Source organism: Homo sapiens, chromosome 8 (genome assembly GCF_000001405.40).
Source record: "Homo sapiens chromosome 8, GRCh38.p14 Primary Assembly".
NCBI lineage: Eukaryota > Metazoa > Chordata > Mammalia > Primates > Hominidae > Homo > Homo sapiens.
The window spans coordinates 74,004,756-74,026,471 of NC_000008.11; the positions used below are offsets into that span (position 1 = coordinate 74,004,756).

The window sequence follows — 21,716 nt, forward strand, 5'->3', positions numbered from 1 at the left end:
ATTTGTAGTAATTTATTGACATTATCTTTATTGCTTTTAGATAAAATGCAATACCCAATTTCAATTAATGTTAACCCCTGTATAGAATTGAAAAGATCCAAAGGATTATTGCACATTTTCTACATTCCAAGTAAGTTCAAATTTTTGCTTTTATAGACCAATCAAAGGAGTTAAGAAATATCAGTGATAAATGATTGTGTTTCAAATATACTTGTATTCGTTATCTATTGCTACGTAACAAATTACCACGATCTTTGTGGCTTAACACAGCACACATTTATTATCTCATCATCTTTGTTGATCAGTATTCTGGGCATAGCTTACCTGTGTCTGCTTCAAGGTCTCCCATAAGGCTACAATCAAGGTGTTTGCCAGGCTGGAGTCCCTTCTGAGGCTCAACTAGGAAATATATACTTCTAAGCTCACGTAGCTGTTGTCAGTATTCAGTTGTTAGTATTCAGTCCCTTGCTGGCTGTTGGCCACCCGTCAGTTCCTTACCACATGGGCATTTTCAGTATGGCTGCTTGCTTTTTCAAAGCCAGCGAGGGGGACAGTCAGCTAACTAGGCAAGTCACAATCTTATATAGCATAATCATGGAAGTAACACTCCATCATCTTTGCTGTGTTCTATTGGTTAGAAGCAAGTCACTAGGCTAGCCCATACTACTGGGAGAGGATTACACAAGAACATGTGGGTAGAAATGGGAATAACTTCAGCTGTCCAACAATCTTACAGGTATATCCTTCATCAATCATTAGCTATAAGTAATATTGGGTTTCCATTAGTCAAAGATCTGTGTGTCAGCAAGCCAGGACTTCAATATTTTTTAAAGATGGTCTTTCTAGAGAAAAATACAGTAATAATGGGATGACAGAAGGCCATGTGTTTTGTTTTGCTTTGTGTTGTGTCTTGGTTTTCCTCTCTATGACTTTGCTTGTTATCAGCTTAGAAAAAACTAACGCAGGTGGGGTGATAGCATGGGGCTGTATCTCAGTCTCTGTGCAGACACAAAACTTTTTCCTCTCCTACCAGTTACCAAACATTGTTTATTGCCTGTAAGCTCTGGAATCCCAGAAAACTTTAGTTTTAATCTTTATCATCATCATTATCACATAATTTACATCCTAGTTTAGATTTGGAGCTTGTTTTAGATTAATACTTTACAGAGTAGTTTTACATGAATAAGCTTAAACATTTTCCCCCGATTTTAGTTCTCTGGCTTACCAGAAAAATGAAAAACAACAACAACAAAATCCCCAAAACTGAGAACCCAGGAATGATAGACAACAAACTTGTGTTTTAATTTTCATGATTCTAGTTGTTCAACCTGTTTTTTTGACACTCTGTATCTGCATTCATTTATTCACTAAAAAGATGCTTAGTAAATTGTAAGTATCATGCTAGGCACTGTGAATTCATTGATAAGATATTCTCTCTCTCTCTCTTTTTTTCTTTTGAGATGGAGTCTCTGTCTGTTGCCCAGGCTGGAGTACAGTGGCATGATCTCGTCGGCTCACTGCAGCCTCTGCCTCCCGGGTTCAATCCATTCTCCTGCCTCAGCCTCCCGGGTAGCTGGGATTATAGGCACCCACCACCATGCCTGGCTAATTTTTGTATTTTTAGTAGAGAAGGGGTTTCACCATGCTGACCAGGCTGGTCTTGAACTCCTAACCTCAAGTGATCCACCCGCCTAGGCCTCCCAAAGTGCTGGGATTACAGGCGCGAGCCACCGTGCCCAGCCAATAAGACATTCTCCTGATCTTCAGGAATCCATCAGTGCAATAGGAGAGACAGAACTGCAGATAGTATGGTATAAGTGAAGTGACAGCAACAGGGCTTAGTGACAGCACAGAGCAAAGGATGATTAACTCTATTTCCTTCACTTTCCTGGCCAAAGATAAAATAAATAATCTAAAGTTTTGCTTGGCTAAGGCTCTACAGTTTCTTCTTTTTTCCTAGGTTCTGTTTTCTGGTCTGTTGGCAGGTTTTACCCCTACACAATTGGCATAAAGGATGATTTACATAATGAATAATCTCACTTTCAAGTGAATCCCTTGCCCTTACTCGCAGGAAACAGGTTGTATCTTTCCAGGCCAAGATAATAAGACAGTACGAAATCATTTAGAGTTCTCTGAAAAGCAGACACTAAGAAGGAATTAGGCTAGAGATTTCTTGGAGGAAACGCTTGTGAACAGTAAAGGGGAGAGGAAGCCAGAGTAGGCTAGGAGAAAATTCAGATTGGGGTGCAGGTCTGATACCTTTGAAAAGAGAGTAGGGAGGAAGGAGAATTAAGTAGGATAATCCTCAGACCAGAATGCATCCCTGAGACACTCTTGGGCTGGGCCAAATAGGAAGCCCCAGAGCAGAATGCCTGTTGTAAGAGACCCATGACAGGCGGGAGTAGCCTGGCTCTAGGGTCCTTGCAGTGCTGGATCATTATAGGAGCAGCCTACGAGAGGGTGGCCTCTGGCTGAGTGCTGAGATAGATGTGAAGGTATGGCAGCTGCAGGCTGTCTGCCAGCTACTCTTCTCACAGCAGCTGCTTTTGAAGGGAAATTTGAGGGACATACCTCAATGGCCATCACAAGTGTTTTATAATTTCTCACTAAATATGACATTTATATAACAAATTATATTAATTCATTAACAAAATAATTATTCAGTCATATTTTTATAGCGCAATTATGTTTCCATAGAATATACTATAATGTTGGTATAAAGTGTGAGGCCACATTCATGGAAATCAACCTTATTTTTATGGCCTCATTTCTACTTGAATTCAGGAAGAGATACAAGTACAAACTTGAACCAAAAATAGGTTGAGAATGGAAATGATATCTTTTGAGATGTCATAGCCTTGCTAGTAAATTATTTGTATATTATTAACTGATTGACAAATCAAACTGGAGCATAAGCTTCCTTCAAGGTTATTTCTGGAAGTTCCTGGAATTGTCTTTGGTAAGCTAAAAAATAGTCCTCTTTTATACCACATGACAGCCTCCATGTTTCTTTTCTTTTTTTGAGATGGAGTCTCACTCTGTCACCCAGGCTGGAGTGCAGTGGCGTGATCTCGGCGCACTGCAGCCTTTGCCTCCTGGGTTCCAACGATTCTCCTGCCTCAGCACCCCTGGTAGCTGGGATTACAGGCGCCTGCCACTGCACCCAGCTAATTTTTGTATTTTTAGCAGAGACAGGGTTTCGCCATGTTGGCCAGGATGGTCTCGAACTCCTGACCTCAGGAGATCTGCCCGCCTTGGCCTCTCAAAGTGCTAGGATTACAGGCGTGAGCCACCGCGCCCAGCCCATGTTTCTTGTCTCTCACTCCAACACCCATATTGACATCCCCAGCCTGCTGAGCCACAAAAGTGGTGTCTCATTGTTGCCATCGTTCATGTTCTTAACGTGACCACAGTGGTGTCCAAGGACAAGGAGTTTCTCACAACTTAAACTATTGAGTTGTCAAAGCAGGACTTCCTTTCCTGGAGTTATTGAAGACTGGAATCTTGCTGTGTTTCACGAAGAAATGGAAGAAGGTCCTTTGCCCTGCATTGTCACTGGACACCACAGTGGTGCTGTCTTGTGCTTCTGTGTCTCCAGGAATTCCTTATGAAAATGGTCTTTCAACTTCTACACACAGCACTGCTTTTGGAGAAGTTCAAGCCCAAGTCCATGGAGTAGGCCATGGGATCACTGTTTGAAACAGACGCCATGATATTCTTCTCCACACCCTACCCTGAAAGTTGAGAAGTGAAGACAAATTAGGAAAGTTGGTGGTGCTTCAGGTTCAGAGCAATGAGGGCCTACATGAAGGCAGCGCGGTAATGGGGATGAAAAGGAGGTTAGAAAGATTTACTGGGACTGGGAATTCTAGTGCCAACTTGGTGATGAAGAGGAGGAAATCACTTTTAGATCTGTTGGGTGAGGTAACTGGGCAACATTTGAGTAGAGATATTGAATAAATACATGGGATCAATGCTCAGGAGAAAGGTTGAGACTAAAGTTGACTTGAGAATTGTCACCTTATGTGGTACTTGGCCTGAGAGAGTGTGCAGAGTGAAAACTAAGGAGAACTGAGGATAGATCCTGGAGAAATCCAGGAGTCGATGAAATAGACTGAGGAAGAGGAGTCAGAGAGATTGGAGGACACCTGGAAGGGAGTGGTTGCACCAACACCAAAGAAGGTTTAGGGAAAGGAGCAGGCAGTTCTGTTAAGCATAGCCAAGTTCAAATTAAAGTTAGAAAAGTTGTCTTTTGATTATGGTTACAATGAGTCATGGTGATCTTACTAGGAAAATATTTTCAGTGAGGTAGTGGTTGCAAAATTGTTTTCTTTATGAAAAGGATTGTGCATCTTTTTTGGCCAGGCATGGTGGCTCATGCCTGTAATCCCAGTACTTTGGGAGGCTGAGGTGGGTGGATCACGAGGTCAGGAGTTCAAGACCAGCCTGGCCAAGATGGTGAAACCCCATCTCTACTAAAAATACAAAAATTAGCTGGGCACGGTGGTAGGCGCCTGTAATCCCAGCTACTCCAGCGGCTGAGGCAGAAGAATTGCTTGAACCTGGGCAGCGGAGGTTGCAGTGAGCCAAGATTACGCCACTGCACTCCAGTCTTTCTCAAAAAAAAAAAAAAAAAAAAAAAAAGAAGAAAAGAAAAGAAAAGAAAGAAAAGGATTGTGCATCTTTTTCATTTGGGCCAACTGAATAAGTTGGAAGAGTTGAGAAAAATGCATTGATTACTGGAATTTTTCATGGTAGCTGGAAATAGGGAGATCATGAGGAAATTAAAAAATAGGCATACATTTAATTTTTCATCAAAAGATTCTATTTTATTCTCAAGAAATCTTTCATCAGAACTCCTAGAAAGTTGACTGTCTCACTGTCCTTCCTTTCCTTTTCTTTTCTTTTGAATTTTCTAGCAGAACCATAGAACTAGACATTTTATGTCTTTATTTGATAGTTTTCTCAATGAAGTTATGAAGGCTCTTCTGTTTTTAGGCAGAGCATGCATAGTTTTACTGTGGAACATTGTATTTGATTATGATTTACTAGTTGCCCTCTCAGAACTTCAGTTTTCTCATCTGCAGAAGAAGAGTAATAATTGACATCTTGTAGATAGTTGTGATGATTAAATGAAATAATGTAAGAAAAGCACAGGGCCCCTTTTAACTATACAATAAATGTTAATTACTATGTATAAAAGAATCTACTATTTGAGGGCCTAATGGGATTTTTTCTTTTAAAGGGAGAGATTTAAAGCAATTATATTTCAATCTCTATATAACTGTCAACACCATGAATCTTCCAAAGCGCAAAGAAGTTATTTGCCGAGGATCTGATGACGATTACTCTTTTTGCAGAGCTCTGAAGGGAGGTAAGTATTCAGTTCATATTACTTTTAGAATAGGAAATAATTCTTTATGAAAATGTTATGAAAATTAAATACATTGAAAATGGGAAGTTCCTTTTCTGCTAATAATTCTTTTTCCATCCAAAGTTTTTACTTTAGCAGCTTAAATAACATTTTATAACTATATACTTGAACTGTTAGGATGACACTTACATGATTTGTATTATTAATATTTTTCATAGTAACCCACCAGATTTTCTATACAGTCCTTGGTTTCTTTAGTGACTTCTGCCTTTATGTTCCTCCTTGGAATTATTTACAGAATAATAACATTCAGAAATTAGGACCCTTACAGAGATCTTGCACCAAGGGATAAAAAAATAAAAAATAAAAATGAATAAAAAAAAGGAATTACCACTTTAGAGCTATATTCCAGCTTTTCCATTTACCAGCAATGTGACTTTTGGCATGTTATTAATATTTAACCTTTCTTGGCCTCATTTTCCTCAGCTATAAAATGGGAAAGTAAAACACATCATACATAGTTTTAAGAATTAAATTTGAGAATGTATGTTAAAAAAAAAAGCCTAGTACAGTGTTCAGAATAAGAATCCTTCTTTTGTTATGAATTTTCCAGTCCTGTCATCTTTATAATGAGGGAACTGATGTTTGCAGTGGCTTAGTAATGTGTCCATGGTCATTTGGAGAACTAGTAACAGAGCAGCATCCTAACTCTAAGACATGACTCTCCTACTGTGTCATGCTTTCTCTTTGGAAAAAAAAAATCCCTTAGCAGATTACTGTTTTTTTTTTTAATTGTGCATTTCTTTTACACAATCTCTGTGGAATTACATTGATATTTTACCTGAATCTTCAAAGTTTCTCTTTCTTGAGACCTCAGAGGTGTCAGACTCAAATCAGCTTGTCTACTTCTTCTCTCCCTCCTCCCACTTTCTTCCATAAACATCTATTGAACCTAATTTGAGCAAATCGTGATTTACGTTCTGGTTATCTGAAGTTGAATGGTAGGATCTCCTTCCTCAGAAAGTTACTCTGGGGAAAACTGGATTGCCATATGCAGAAGAATAAAACTGGACCCCTAGCTCTCACCACATACAAAAATCAACTCAAGATGGATGAACAACTTAAGCATAAGATCTGCAATTACAAACATACTAGAAGAAACCTAGGAAAGATTCTTCTGGACATTGGTCTAGGCAAAGAATTTATGACAAAGATCTCAAAAGCACAGGCAATAAAGACAAAAGTAGACAAATGGGATTTAATTACATCAAAAAGCTTCTGCATAGCAAAAGAAATAATCAACGGAGTGAACAGACAACCTGTAGTATATGAGAAAAAATTCGCAAACTATTCATCCAACAGGGGACTAATATTCAGAATGTACAAAGAACTCAAGCAACTCAACAGCAACAACAAAAACAAATAACCCCATTAAAAAGTGGGAAGAGTGGCTAGGCGCAGTGGCTCACGCCTGTAATCCCAGCACTTTGGGATACCAAGGCAGGTGGATCATGAGGTCAGGAGTTCGAGACCAGCCTGGCCAACATAGTGAAACCCCATCTCTACTAAAACTACAAAAATTAGCCAGGTGTGGTGGCATGCGCCTGTAGTCCCAGCTACTTGAGAGGCTGAGGCAGGAGAATCGCTTGAACCCAGGAGGTGGAGGTTGCAGTGAGGCGAGACCATGCCATTGCACTCCAGCCCAGGTGACAGAGTGAGACTCCATCTCAAAAAAAAAAAAAAAAAAAGTGGGAAAAGGACATGAATAGACACTTATAGATACTTTTCAAAAGAACAGATAGAAATGGTCAATAGGTATATTACTAATCATCAGAGAAAAGCAAATTAAAGTTGCAATGAGATATCATCTTACCCCAGCCAGAATGGCTATTCTTAAAAAGACAAAAAGTAACAGATGTTAGCAAGAATATGGAGAAAAAAGAACTCATCCATTTTTGGTGGGAATGTAAATTAGTATAGTCTATGGAAAGCAATATGGAGATTTATCAAAGAACTAAAAATAGAACCACCATTCCATCTAGCAATTTCACTACTAGGTATCTACTCAAAGGAAAAGAAATCAATATATCAAAAAGATACCTGCACTCATATGTTTATTGCACTAGTCACAATAGCAAAGATATGGAATTTACCTAAGTGTCCATCAACAGACAAATGGGTAAATAAAATGTGGTATATTTACACAATGGAATACTATTAAGCCATTAAAAAAATGAAATCATGTATTTTTCAGCAACATGGATGGAACTAGAGGCCATTATCTTAACTGAAACAAACCAGGCACAGAAAGTCAAATATTGCATGTTCCCACTCATAAGTGGGTGCTAAAAAATGTGTACACATGTACTACAGAGTGGAATGATAGTGAAGAGTTGGAAGGGTGAGGGGGTGGATGATGTAAAATTAGTTAATGGGTATATGTTACTTGGGTGATGGGCACCCTAAAAGCCCTGACTTGACCACTACACAACCTATGCAGGTAATGAGATTGCACATGTACCTGGTAAATCAGTATAAATAAATAAATAAAAAAGTCACTCCATTCTGGGAAAGACAGTTATAAGAACAAAATTTATAATAAAATTATGTGTAATTTTATTGTAAATTGATTATAGGTATGAGCCATTGCCATACAATAAAATTATATTTACATATAATTTTTTTGTAAAATTATTGTAAATTTTTTGTAAATTTATTGTAAAAAGGTGTATGTAAATAACATATAGTTCTATTAGCAATAGAACTATATGTTATTGGTTTTAACTATATAATTACTAAATAACTGTGGCAGAAAAACTGGGATAAGTTTTTTTTTTGAGACAAGATCTTATCTTGTGGCTCTGTCACCCAGATTAGAGTGCAGTGGTGCAACCATAGCTCACTGCAGCCTCAAACTCCTGGGCTGAAGTCATCATCTAGTCACAGCCTCCTGAGTAGCAAGGACTACAGGCACAGATCACCATGTCCAGCTAATTTTTTTTTCTTTTTTTTTGGAGTCAGAATCTCACTCTGTCACCCAGGTTGGAGTGCAATGGCACAATCTCAGCTCACTGCAACCTCCACTTCCCGGGTTCAAGTGATTCTGCCTCAGCCTCCCGAGTAGCTGGGACTACAGGCGTGTGTCACCATGCCCGGCTAATTTTTGTATTTTTAGTAGAGACAGGTTTTCATCATGTTAGCCAGGCTGGTCTCAAACTCCTGACCTCAGGCCATCTGCCTGCCTCGGCCTCCCAAAGTGCCTCCCAAAGTGCTGAGATTACAGGTGTGAGCCACCGCACCTGGCCCTAATTTTAAATTTAATTTTATTTTAATTAAAAAATAGAGATAAGGTCTCACCATCTTGCCCAGGCTGGTGTTGAACTCCTGGGCTCAAGTGATCCTCCTGCCTCAGCTTCCCAGAGTGCTGGGATTACAGGTGTGAGCCATTGCTCCTGGACATTTTTAAATTTTTTGTAGAGACAGGGTCTCACTATGTTGCCCAGGCTGGTCAGACAAGCCTTCAATAGAGTATTTTATTAGGGTCTTGAATCTGAGAACATCAGAGGGTGAGGGGGAAAAACATTCCCTGGAGAGGAAACAGCATGTACAAACACATCTAGTCATGAAAGAGTATGGTTTATTTGGAGAGTAGTTTTTTTGTAGTTGGAGCAGAATGTGCTTGTGGGGAATTGCTGGAGATGAGCCTAGAAAAGGGGGCAGTGTGAGCATGTAACTCATGCGCAAAATATTGGCCGGTATCCTATAGTCAGTGGGCAGGGATGACCCACTGAGATTTCCATTTTTACAGATAACTAGCATCCATATGGCAGGAGGTGGGGGTAGGCTGAGGCAGGAAACTTGGGTGGAAGGAAGAGCATCCAGGAGGCTCTGTGAGAGACCATGAGGGCTGAACGAGACGGCGGCCAGGGAGTAGCAGGGAGGAGATGAAAGAGAGATTTTTGGGAGACAGAATAGGCAGGATACACTGATTTAATGTGGCAGGCAAGGATTAGGTAAAATCAAGACCCTCTTGGGCTGGGTGCCTGTAATCCTAGCACTTTGGGAGGCTGAGGCTAGGAGTTTGGGGCCAGCCTGGGCAAGGAGGTGAAACACCATCTCTGAAAAAAAAAAAAAATTAGCTGGGTGTGGTGGTACCAGCCTTTAGTCCAGCTACTTGGGACTGAGGTGGGAGGATCACTTGCACCCAGGAGGTCTTGGCTAGCTGTGATCCACCGCTGCACTCCCTGACTTAAAAAAAAAAAAAGAAAAAAAAAAAAGCACCACACTTGAGGGCCAGTGACTGGATGTATGGAAGTGCCATTATCTGAGATGATGTGTACAAAAGAACAGGCAGGTTTTTTTTTTTTTTTTTTTAAAGGGAAACATAATGAGTTCTGGCTTGGGCATGTTAAGCTCAAGGTAATTTTGGAATATTCAAATAAACATGGCCATCTGGCAGCTGAGTATGTGGGCCCAGAACTTAGGACTTTCTGATTTAAGAAGCATTGACGTATCAAGAGACCCTTGAAATTTGGGAGTCGAATTTGCAAGTACCATACATATCTATGTTTAAAATAATTTTCCTTTTGGTTGTTATAAAAGTTATACATCTTTATGATATGATATTTAGAAAATATGGACAAGCAATTATAAAGTAAAAGTTACCCATAATCTCACCAGTTTACACACACACACACACACACACACACACACACACATATATCTGTTTCTCTCAAAAACACATTTATGAATCAATGGATGGATATTTCAAAGCATCTTAAATTTAATAAGCCTGGGCTGGGCACGGTAGCTCATGCCTGCAATCCCAGCACTTTGTGAGGCCAAGGGAGGTGGGCTGCTTGACATCAGGAGTTTGAGAACAGCCTGGGCAACATGGTAAAATGCCGTCTCTACCAAAAATACAAAAATTAGCTGGGTCTGGTTGTGCATGCCTGTGGTCCCAGATACTTGAGAGGCTGAGGCGGGAGGATCACTGGAGCTTGGGCAGTGGAGGCTGCAGTGAGCCGTGATTGCACCACTGCACTCCAGCCTGGGCAACAGAGCAAGATCCTGTTTAAAAAAAAATTCATAAGCCTGTAAGTTCTGTTACCGGGATTTTGCTGGGGCTGCTGTTACTAAGTACCATAAACTGAATACCTTAGAAAAACAGAAATTTATCATGTAACAGCTCTGGAGTCCAGAAGTCTGAAACCAAGATAACGAGGCCATGCTCCCTCTGTAGGAGCTAGGCATGGATCTGTTCCAGGCCTCTCTCCTAGCTTCTGGTGGCCTAAGGCATGTCTTGCCTTGTAGATGGTCATCTTCTTCCTGGGTCCTTTCACTGTGGTCTTCCCTCCTATGTTTGTCTATCTCAGTGTCCAAATTTCCCCTTCTTAATAAGGACACTTGCATATTGGACTAGGGCCCACCCTAATGACCTCATTTTAACTTGATTATCTGCAAAGATCCTGTTTCTAAATAAGGTCATGTTCACAGGCACTGGAGGTTAGGGCTTCAACATATCTTTTTGGGGGACACAATTCAATGTACAATACCATCTGAGGCTCAGATCCCGCCCCCTGCATAGCTGCCAGGAAAACTAGACTGGACCATGAGTGAGCTGCATGGATACCTTTTGAGAAGAGGAGAGGAGAGCCTAAGAAGGGGTTCTGTTCTCCCTCGCCCTGCCTCAGTTCCCTCTTGCCTTCTTCAATGTGGGCAAAGCTTCAAGCTAACTTCCTAAGAAAAGAATGGAAGGGTCCGTTCCAAGATGGCCAAATAGGAGCAGCTCCAGTCTGCAGCTCCCAGCGTGATCGACACAGAAGACAGGTGTTTTCTGCATTTCCAACTGAGGTACCTGGTTCATCTCACTGGGACTAGTTGGACAGTGGGTGCAGCCCACAGAGGGCAAGCCAAAGCAGGGTGGGGCATTGCCTCACCCAGGAAGTGCAAGGGGTCAGGGGATTTCCCTTTCCTAGCCAAAGGAAGCTGTGACAGACTGTACCAGGAAAATTGGGACACTCCCACCTTAATACTGCACTTTTCCAATGGTCTTAGCAAACAGCACACCAGGAGATTATATCCTGTGCATGGCTCAGTGGGTCCCATGCCCACAGAGCCTTGCTCACTGCTAGCACAGCAGTCCAAGATTGAACTGCAAGGCAGCAGCCTGGCTCGGGAGGGGCGTCCGCCATTGCTGAGGCTTGAGTAGGTAAACAAAGAGGCCTGAAAGCTCGAACTGGGTGGAGCCCACCACAGCTCAACGAGGCCTGCCTGCCTCTGTAGACTCCACCTCTGGGGGCAGGGTATAGCTGAACAAAAGGCAGCAGAAACTTCTGCAGACTTAAAGGTCCCTGTCTGACAGCTCTGAAGAGAGCAGTGGTTCTCCCAGCATGGTGTTTGAGCTCTGAGATCGGACAGACTGTCTCCTCAAGTGGGTCCCTGACCCCTGTGTAGCCTAACTCGGAGACACCTCCTAGTAGGGGCTTACTGACACCTCATACAGCTGGTGCCCCTCTGAGATGAAGCTTCCAGAGGAAGGATCAGGCAGCAATATTTGCTGATCTGCAATATTTACTGTTCTGCAATATTTACTGGTCTGCAGCCTCCGCTGGTGATACCCAGGCAAACAGGGTCTGGAGTGGACCTCCAGCAAACTCCAACAGACCTGCATCTGAGGGTCCTGACTCTTAGAAGGAAAGCTAACAAACAGAAAGGAAGAGCACCAACATCAACAAAAAGGACATCCACACCAAAACCCCATCTGTAGGTCACCATCATCAAAGACCAAAGGTAGGTAAAACCACAAAGATGGGGAGCAACCAGAGCAGAAAAGCTGAAAATTCTAAAAACCAGAGTGTCTCTTCTCCAAAGGATCGCAGCTCCTCGCCAGCAACGGAACAAAGCTGGATGGAGAATGACTTTGATGAGTTGACAGAAGAAGGCTTTAGAAGGTCAGTAATAACAAACTTCGCTGAGCTAAAGGAGGATGTTCGAACCCATCGCAAGGAAGCTAAAAACCTTGAAAAAGGATTGGATGAATGGCTAACTAGAATAAACAGTGTAGAGAAGACCTTAAATGACCTGATGGAGATGAAAAGCGTGGCACGAGAACTACATGACACATGCAGAAGCTTCAGTAGCCAATTCGATCAAGTGGAAGAAAGGGTATCAGTGATTGAAGATCAAATTAGTGAAATGAAGCAAGAAGAGAAGTTTAGAGAAAAAAGAGTAGTAAGAAATGAACAAAGCCTCCAAGAAACATGATACTATGTGAAAAGACCAAATCTACATTTGATTGGTTACCTGAAAGTGATGGTGAGAATGGAACCAAGCTGGAAAACACTCTTCAGGATATTATCCAGGAGAACTTCCCCAATCTAGCAAGGCAGGCCAACATTCAAATTCAGGAAATACAGAGAACACCACAAGGTACTCCTCGAGAAGAGCAACCCCAAGACAGATAATTGTCAGATTCACCAAGGTTGAGATGAAGGAAAAAATGTTAAGGGCAGCCAGAGAGAAAGGTCAGGTTATCCACAAAGGGAAGCCCATCAGACTAACAGTGGATCTCTTGGCAGAAACTCTACAAGCCAGAAGAGAGTGGTGGCCAATATTCAACATTCTTAAAGACAAGAATTTTCAACCCAGAATTTCATACCCAGCCAAACTAAGCTTCACAAGTGAAGGAGAAATAAAATCCTTTACAGACAAGCAAATGCTGAGAGATTTTGCCACCACCAGGCCTGCCTTACAAGAGCTCCTGAAGGAAGCACTAAACATGGAAAGGAACAACTGGTACCAGCCACTGCAAAAATATGCCAAATTGTAGCGACTATTGATGCTAGGAAGAAACTGCATAAATTAACGAGCAAAATAACAAGCTAACATCATAATGACAGGATCAAATTCACACATAACAATATTAACCTTAAATATAAATGGGCTAAATGCCCCAATTAAAAGACACAGACTGGCAAATTGGATAAAGAGTCAAGACGTATCAGTGTGCTATATTCAGGAGACCCATCTCACATGCAGAGACACACATAGGCTCAAAATAAAGGGATGGAGGAAGATCTACCAAGCAAATGGAAAGCAAAAAAAAATAAAAAAAATAAATAAATAAACAGGGGTTGCAATCCTAGTCTCTGATAAAACAGACTTTAAACCAACAAAGATCAAAAGAAACAAAGAAGACAATTACATAAAGGTAAAGGGATCAATTCAACAAGAAGAGCTAACTATCCTAAATATATATGCACCCAATACAGGAGCACCCAGATTCATAAAGCAAGTCCTTAGAGACCTACAAAGAGACTTAGACTCCCACACAATAATAATGGGATACTTTAACACCCCACTGTCAATATTAGACAGATCAATGAGACAGAAGGTTAACAAGGATATCCAGGACTTGAACACAGTTCTGCACCAAGCAGACCTAATAGACATCTACAGAACTCTCCACCCCAAATCAACAGAATATACATTCTTCTCAGCACCACATTGCACTTATTCCAAAATTGACCACATAGTTGGAAGTAAAGCACTCCTCAGCAAATGTAAAAGAACAGAAATCACAACAAACTGTCTTTCAGACCACAATGCAATCAAATTAGAACTCAGGATTAAGAAACTCACTAAAAACTACACAACTACATGGAAACTGAACAACCTGCTCCTAAGTGACTACTGGGTACATAACGAAATGAAGGCAGAAATAAAGATATTCTTTGAAACCAATGAGAACAAAGACATAACGTACCAGAATCTCTGGGACACATTTAAATCAGTGTGTAGAGGGAAATTTATAGCACTAAATGCCCACAAGAGAAAGCAGAAAAGATCTAAAATCGACACCCTAACATCACAATTAAAAGAACTAGAGAAGCAAGAGCAAACACATTGAAAAGCTAGCAGAAGGAAAGAAATAACTAAGATCAGAGCAGAACTGAACGAGATAGAGACAAAAAAACCCTTCAAAAAATCAATGAATCCAGGAGCTGATTTTTTGAAAAGATCAACAAAATAGATAGATTGCTAGCAAGACTAATGAAGAAAAGAGAGAAGAATCAAATAGACGCAATAAAAAATGATAAAGGGGATATCACCACCGTTCCCACAGAAATACAAACTACTATCAGAGAATACTATAAACACCTCTATGCAAATAAACTAGAAAATTTAGAAGAAATGGATAAATTCCTGGACACATACACCCTCCCAAGACTAAACCAGGAAGAAGTCGAATCCCTGAATAGATCAATAACAAGTTCTGAAATTGAGGCAATAATTAATAGCCTACCAACCAAAAAAAGTCCAGGACCAGACAGATTCACAGCCAAATTCTACCAGAGGTACAAAAAGGAGATGGTACCATTTCTTCTGAAACTATTCCAATCAATAGAAAAGGAGGGAATCCTCCCTAACTCATTTTATGAGGCCAGCATCATCCTGATACCAAAGCCTGGCAGAGACACAACAAAAAAAGAGAATTTTAGACCAATATTCCTAATGAACATCGATGAGAAAATCCTCAATAAAATACTGGCAAACCAAATCCAGCAACACATCAAAAAGCTTATGCGCCAAGATCAAGTTGGCTTCATCCTTGGGATGCAAGGCTGGTTCAGCATACACAAATCAATATACGTAATTCATCACATAAACAAAACCAAAGACAAAAATCACACGATTATGTCACTAGATGCAGAAAAGGCCTTCGACAAAATTCAACAGCCTTTCATGCTAAAAACTCTCAATAAACTAGCTATTGATGGAACGTATCTCAAAATAATAAGAGCTATTTATGACAAACCCACAGCCAATATCATACTGAATGGGCAAAAACTGAAAGCATTCCCTTTGAAAACTGGCACAAGACAGGGATGCCTCTCTCACCACTCCTACTCAACATAGTGTTGGAAGTTCTGGCCAGGACAATAAGGCAAGGGAAAGAAATAAAGGGTATTCAATTAGGAAAAGAGGATGTCAAATTGTCCCTGTTTTCAGATGACATGATTGTATATTTGGAAAACCCCATCATCTCAGCCCCAAATCTCCTTAAGCTGATAAGCAGCTTCAGCAAAGTCTCAGGATATAAAATAATGTGCAAAAATCACAAGCATTCCTATACACCAATAACAGACAAACAGAGAGCCAAATCATGAGTGAACTCCCATTCACAATTGCTACAAAGAGAATAAAATATCTAGGAATCCAACTTACAAGGGTTGTAAAGGACCTCTTCAAGGAGAATTACAAACCACTGCCCAACGAAATAAAAGAGGACACAAACAAATGGAAGAACATTCCATGCTCATGGATGGGAGGAATCAATATTGTGAAAATGGCCATACTGCCCAAGGTAATTTATAGATTCAATGCCATCCCCATCAAGCTACCAATGACTTTCTTCACAGAATTGGAGAAAACTACTTTAAAGTTCATCTGGAACCAAAAAAGAGCCTGCATTGCCAAGACAATCCTAAGCAAAAAGAGCAAAGCTGGAGGCATCATGCTACCTGACTTCAAACTATACTACAAGGCTACAGTAACCAAAACAGCATGGTACTGGTACCAAAACAGAGATATAGACCAATGGAATAGAACAGAGGCCTCAGAAATAACACCACACATCTACAATCATTTGATCTTTGACAAACCTGACAAAAACAAGCAATGGGGAAAGGATTCCCTATTTAATAAATGGTGCTGGGAAAACTGGCTAGCCATATGTAGAAAGCTGAAACTGGATCCTTTCCTTAAATCTTATACAAAAATTAATTCAAGATGGATTAAAGACTTAAATGTTAGACCTAAAACCATAAAAGCCCTATAAGAAAACCTAGGCAATATGATTCAGGACATAGGCATGGGCAAGGACTTTATGACTAAAACACCAAAAGCAATGGCAACAAAAGCCAAGATAGACAAATGGGATCTAATTAAACTAAAGAGCTTCTGCACAACAAAAGAAACTGTCATCAGATTGAACAGGCGACCTACAGAATGGGAGAAAATTTTTACAATCTACCCGTCTGACAAAGGGCTGATATCCAGAATCTACAAAGAACTTAAACAAATTTACAAGAAAAAATCAAACAACCCCATCAAAAAGTGGGCAAAGGATATGAACAGACACTTTTCAAAAGAAGACATTTATGCAGCCAAGAGACACATGAAAAAATGCTCATCATCACTGGTCATCAGAGAAATGCAAATCAAAACCACAATGAGATACCATCTCACACTGGTTAGAAAGGCGATTGTTAAAAAGTCAAGAAACAATAGGTGCTGCAGAGGATGTGGAGAAATAGGAATGCTTTTACACTGTTGGTGGGAGTGTAAACTAGTTCAACCATTGTGGAAGACAGTGTGGCAATTCCTCAAGGATCTAGAACTAGAAATACCATTTGACCCAGCCATCCCACTACTGGGTATATACCCAAAGGGTTATAAATCATGCTACTATGAAGACACATGCACACGTATGTTTATTGCAGCACTATTCACAACAGCAAAGACTTGGAACCAACCCAAATGTCCATCAATGATAGACGGGATTAAGAAAATGTGGCACATATACACCATGGAATACTATGCAGCCATAAAAAACGATGAGTTCATGTCCTTTGTAGGGACATGGATGAAGCTGGAAACCATCATTCTGAGCAAACTATTGTAAGGACAGAAAACCAAACACTGCATATTCTCACTCATAGGTGGGAATTGAACAATGAGAACACTTGGACACAGGGCAGGGAACATCACACACCAGGGCCTGTCATGGGGTGGGGGGCTGGGGGAGGGATAGCATTAGGAGAAATACCTAATGTAAATGACTAATTAATTGGTGCAGCAAACCAACATGGCACATGTATACATATGTAAGAAATCTGCACATTGTGCACATGTACCCTAGAACTTAAAGTATAATTTAAAAAAAAAAGAAAAGAAAAGAATGGAAGGTATGAGCAAGATATGAGCTTTCTTGGCAGGCACAGTGGCTCAAGCCTGTAATCCCAGCACTTTGGGAGGCCGAGGCGGGCAGATCACTTGAGGTTAGGAGTTCCAGACCAGCCTGGCCTACATGGTGAAACCCAGTCTGTACTAAAAATACAAAAGTAGATGGGTGTGGTAGCACATGTTTGTAATCCCCGCTACCACCCGGGAGCCTGAGGCAGGAGAATCACTTGAATGAAGGCAGAGGTTGCGGTGAGCCAAGATCCCACCACTGCACTCCAGCCTGGGCTACACAGTGAGACTCCAGTCTCAAAAAAAGAAAAACCAAAAAAAAAGATAGCTTTCTAAGACAGACAAAACAATTGAAAAACAAAAAAAAAAGGGTTCTATCCAACAGAAGAGGTTAGAACTCCTTCCACCTACCTGAACTGCTAAGTGTTAGGACAGTCTCCCTTAATAGAAATCTAGGGTTTTTTCTTTTTTTCTTTTTTTTTTTTTTTGTGACAGGGTCTCGCCCTGTCGCCCAGGCTGGAGTGCAATGGCGCAGTCTCAGCTCACTGCAACCTCTGCCTCCCAGGTTCAAAAGATTCTCCTGCCCCAGCCTCCCCAGTAGCTGGGATTATAGGTGCATGCCACCACGCCCAACAACTTTTTTTGTATGTTTAATAGAGATGGAGTTTCACCATGTTGGCCAGGCTGGTCTCAAACTCCTCACCTCGTGATCAGCCCACCTCGGCCTCCCAAAGTGCTGGGATTACAGGCGTGAGCCACTGTTCCTGGTCTAGTGGTTGTTCTTAATTTCTTTCTCATATCCTCAAGTCTCATCCATCTTCCTCCCCTGCCCCTTACACAAAGTTTACAGAGTTGGCTTTATGACCAGAGTCCAGGGCCCCATATACGGAAGGGCCCCATGCTTGGGGTTTAATGCCCTGTGATCATAGTCTTGAAATTCTTAATAATTTTATCTTTGAGTGTGTGTTTTGTGTAAGTGAAATCTAATGAGATGATGAGGTATGAACCCACCTTCCCTGGACCGGTTCTTGGTTCCCGCTGCCCACTTCCCTGCTGGCACCATGGGATCCCCTCCCCTCTTCTGTCCAGTGCAACCTGCTACCCTCTGCTCCTGGTGAAATCCTGGCTACAGGGAGGGTCAGGATCCGGTGTGGGTGCCCTGCAGTATCTTGGGTGGGCATGACAGTGGCTGCCCTACCTGGGCTGGCAGCACCACAGCCCTGTTCAGCAGCTGACTAGTTGGGCACACCATCCCCTGCCCCACCCCGAAACAGGTAGTGTGTGGAGGTATTGCATGGAGGTTGCAGTGCGTTGAGAGTCACTGTTGAATAGCAGGCCTGTGGGAAAGAAAGGTACTTGCTTGGACTTCCTGCCTCTCACAGGAGCATGGGGCATCTGGCAGTTTGTGGAAGGAGGACGCTGACAGGCAACTCTCAGGCCCAAGCTTGCACAGGAGCCCCCAGTCGTGGAGGAGCCCCTGGGTGTTTCTGCACTCACCTATGCTGCTTGCTGAGGGGTCATTCCCTCAGGCTGTTCCATGTCTTGGGGACCTTCTCTTTCTCCGTTCAAATTTCCTGCCTCTGGCTTGTGTTAGTTTCCTCTGGCCAGCTCGAGGCACCCTCTGGGGTTGAGCAGGGAAAGACAAATTATGTAATCTCCGTGATTCTACCTTGAAGTTAAATGCTTTAATATTTGCATTTAAAACTGGCATTGTATTATAAAAAGATGAATAGTGAAATTCATACTAACAGTTTAAAATGTTCTCTTTATTACAAATGATATTAAATTGCAATAAAAACATTATGGCAAGTCTAGAGAGAGAAACACACAGAAGAAAGGAAAAAGTTTTATGTTCTAGTAACTTTAACAGGTTTCCCCCATCTTTTGAATAAGCAGCCTCATATTGTCATTTTGTGCTGGGCCTTGAAAATTATGTATTTAATTATGTAATGATGTATTGCATTACTTTTCATGGCAAAAACTGCAATTACTTTTACACCAACCTAATAGTTGATCCTGAAGCTGGGTACTGAGAATTAGGTGCTAGGTGCCAGATATCCAAATATCCAAAGCAAAACCCCGGTCCTCATGGAGATTATAGACTAGTGGAGAAAACAAGATCCTAATGAAGTAATAAAATAAAGAAAAGCAGAAAAATGAAATATGATTCAATTTGTGATAAATACTCTCAAAGAAACAAGCAAGTTAATGAGATAGAGCCTATTATTATTATATTATTATATAATATATACATATATGACTAATATATTAATGCATTAATATTCACAAGGTATGAATATGTTATTATTCACAAGATGCCATTGGAAGGAGGGTCTAGAAGGGAGAAGGAATAATATTAAATGTTATAAGTAACATTTAATGGTAATAATATTTAATAAGTGCTATGTCCTAGGCATTGTTCTTAGCACTTAACATGTATTAACTGGTATAGCCCTTGTAATAATCCTATGAGATACGTGTTATCGCCCATCAGCATTTTACTGAGGCATAGAAAAATTAAGTGACTGGCCTAAAGTTACACACCAAGTAGAGGAGCTGGGATTCAAACCCAAGCCGTTCTGGCCCCAGAGCCATCACTCTTACAAAGATGTTATCTTTATCCTTACTGCATCTTTCTCATTGCATATTGTATTTGGAATGGTTTCTTCTTATCATTTTAGGGGTCTTTTTTTGGTTTTTAAAAATTTTAATTTTATTTTAATTTAATGTATTTATTTTGAGACAAGGTCTCCCTGTCACCCAGGCTGGAGTGAAGTGGCACGAACACAGCTCACTGTAGCCTCTACCTACTGGGATCAAGTGATCCTCCCACCCTAGCCTCTCGAGTAACTGGGATTATAGGCACATGCACCACACCCATCTTTCTTTTATATATTTTGTACAGATAAGGCTTCACCATGTTGCCCAGGCTGGTCTTGAACTTCTGGGCTCAAGGGATCTACCCTCTTTGGCCTCCCAAAGTGTTGTGATTACAGGCATGAGCCACCGCTCACAGCTGGAATGGTTTCTTAAATATCTATATCTCCAATAGACTTTAGCTCTTTGAGAGAAGGGACAGAGTTGTACTACCATTGTCTTCCCAGGCCCTGGTGGGTAGTAGGCTTTCAATAAGTGAGTTGTTGAACTGTTAAATTTTGAATTGGATTGGCCTTGAATGAAAGATCATAAGATTATGAAGACATGATCACTTTACTGAGCTCAAGAAACACCTCAGGTATCAACTCCTTTAGTAAGGATACACCCGGCTAGGTGTGGTGGTTTATGTCTGTAATCCCAGCACTTTGGAAGGCCGAGGCAGGCAGATCACCTGAGGTTAGGAGTTCAATACCAGCCTGGCCAACATAGAGAAACTCTGTCTCTACTAAAAATACAAAAATTCGCCAGGCGTAGTGGTGGGTGTCTGTAATCCCAGCTACTGGGGAGGCTGAGGCAGGAGAATGGCGTGAACCCAGGAGGCGGAGCTTGCAGTGAGCCAAGATTGTGCCACTGCACTCCAGCCTGGGCGACAGAGCGAAACTCCGTCTCAAAAAAAAAAAAAAAAAAAAAGATACACCCTTTATCTGCTTTAAAGAAAGAGCAAAAAGAAAAGAAAAGACAGCTGGGCGCAGTGGCTCATGCCTGTAATCCCAGCACTTTGGAAGGCCAAGGCGGGCAGATCGCCTGAAGTTGGGAGTTCGAGACCAGCCTGGTCAGCATGATGAAACCCTGTCTTTACTAAAAATACAAAAATTAATCGGGTGTGGTGGCAGGCGCCTGTAATCTCAGCTACTCAGGAAGCCGAGGCAGGAGAATCTCTTGAACCCGTGAGGCAGAGGTTGCAGTGAGCTGAGATCACGCCATTGTACTCCGGCCTGGGCAACAGAGTGAGACTCCATCTCAAAACAAAGAAACAAACAAAAACAGAAAGAGGATACATCCAGAAGTAAATAAATAAATGCTTACTTGTGAGACTAGAAGTATACATGCAGACATTAATTATTTACTTCTGAGAACAATATTATAGTTTTTGATTTAACTATATTAAAAATATTTTTGGCCACTGTTTCTTTTGTTTGAGATTCAAAACATACATTTCTATCTTTACCCCACCACATTCACTACTTTGTTCTGACTGGAACAGTAGGATGTGCATTTTTCTGCACTTTTGACTCTGTGCTCCACAGCTTGTGTGGGGCCAGGCCCGTGGCTATGCACTTAAACAGAAGCTAACTTGAGCTTCTCAGTGGTGTAATTGGGAGGAGCTTCAGTATTCTGGCTGCCTCCAAAATATCTCATCTGTCTTTGCAAGATTGTTCTCTATTATACCCAGCTTAATGTGCATCAATATCTCTGAAAACTAGTT

At 41.2% G+C, this 21,716-nt stretch overlaps 1 protein-coding gene across 6 annotated transcripts in view; it reads left to right on the forward strand.

The window, feature by feature from the left end:
- The window catches only part of LY96 (lymphocyte antigen 96), a 108,466-nt gene that overhangs the window by 13,364 nt on the left and 73,386 nt on the right, over positions 1–21,716 (forward strand). For 4 of the 6 annotated variants that reach the window (XM_017013299.2, XM_011517508.3, NM_015364.5 and 1 more), the window contains exons 2-3: positions 41–130; positions 5,246–5,374. In XM_017013299.2, the coding sequence (XP_016868788.1) occupies positions 41–130; positions 5,246–5,374 (219 nt within the window). The remainder of the gene's footprint in view (positions 1–40; positions 131–5,245; positions 5,375–21,716) is intronic. The other 2 variants (XM_017013300.2, NM_001195797.2) reach the window with 1 other exon arrangement.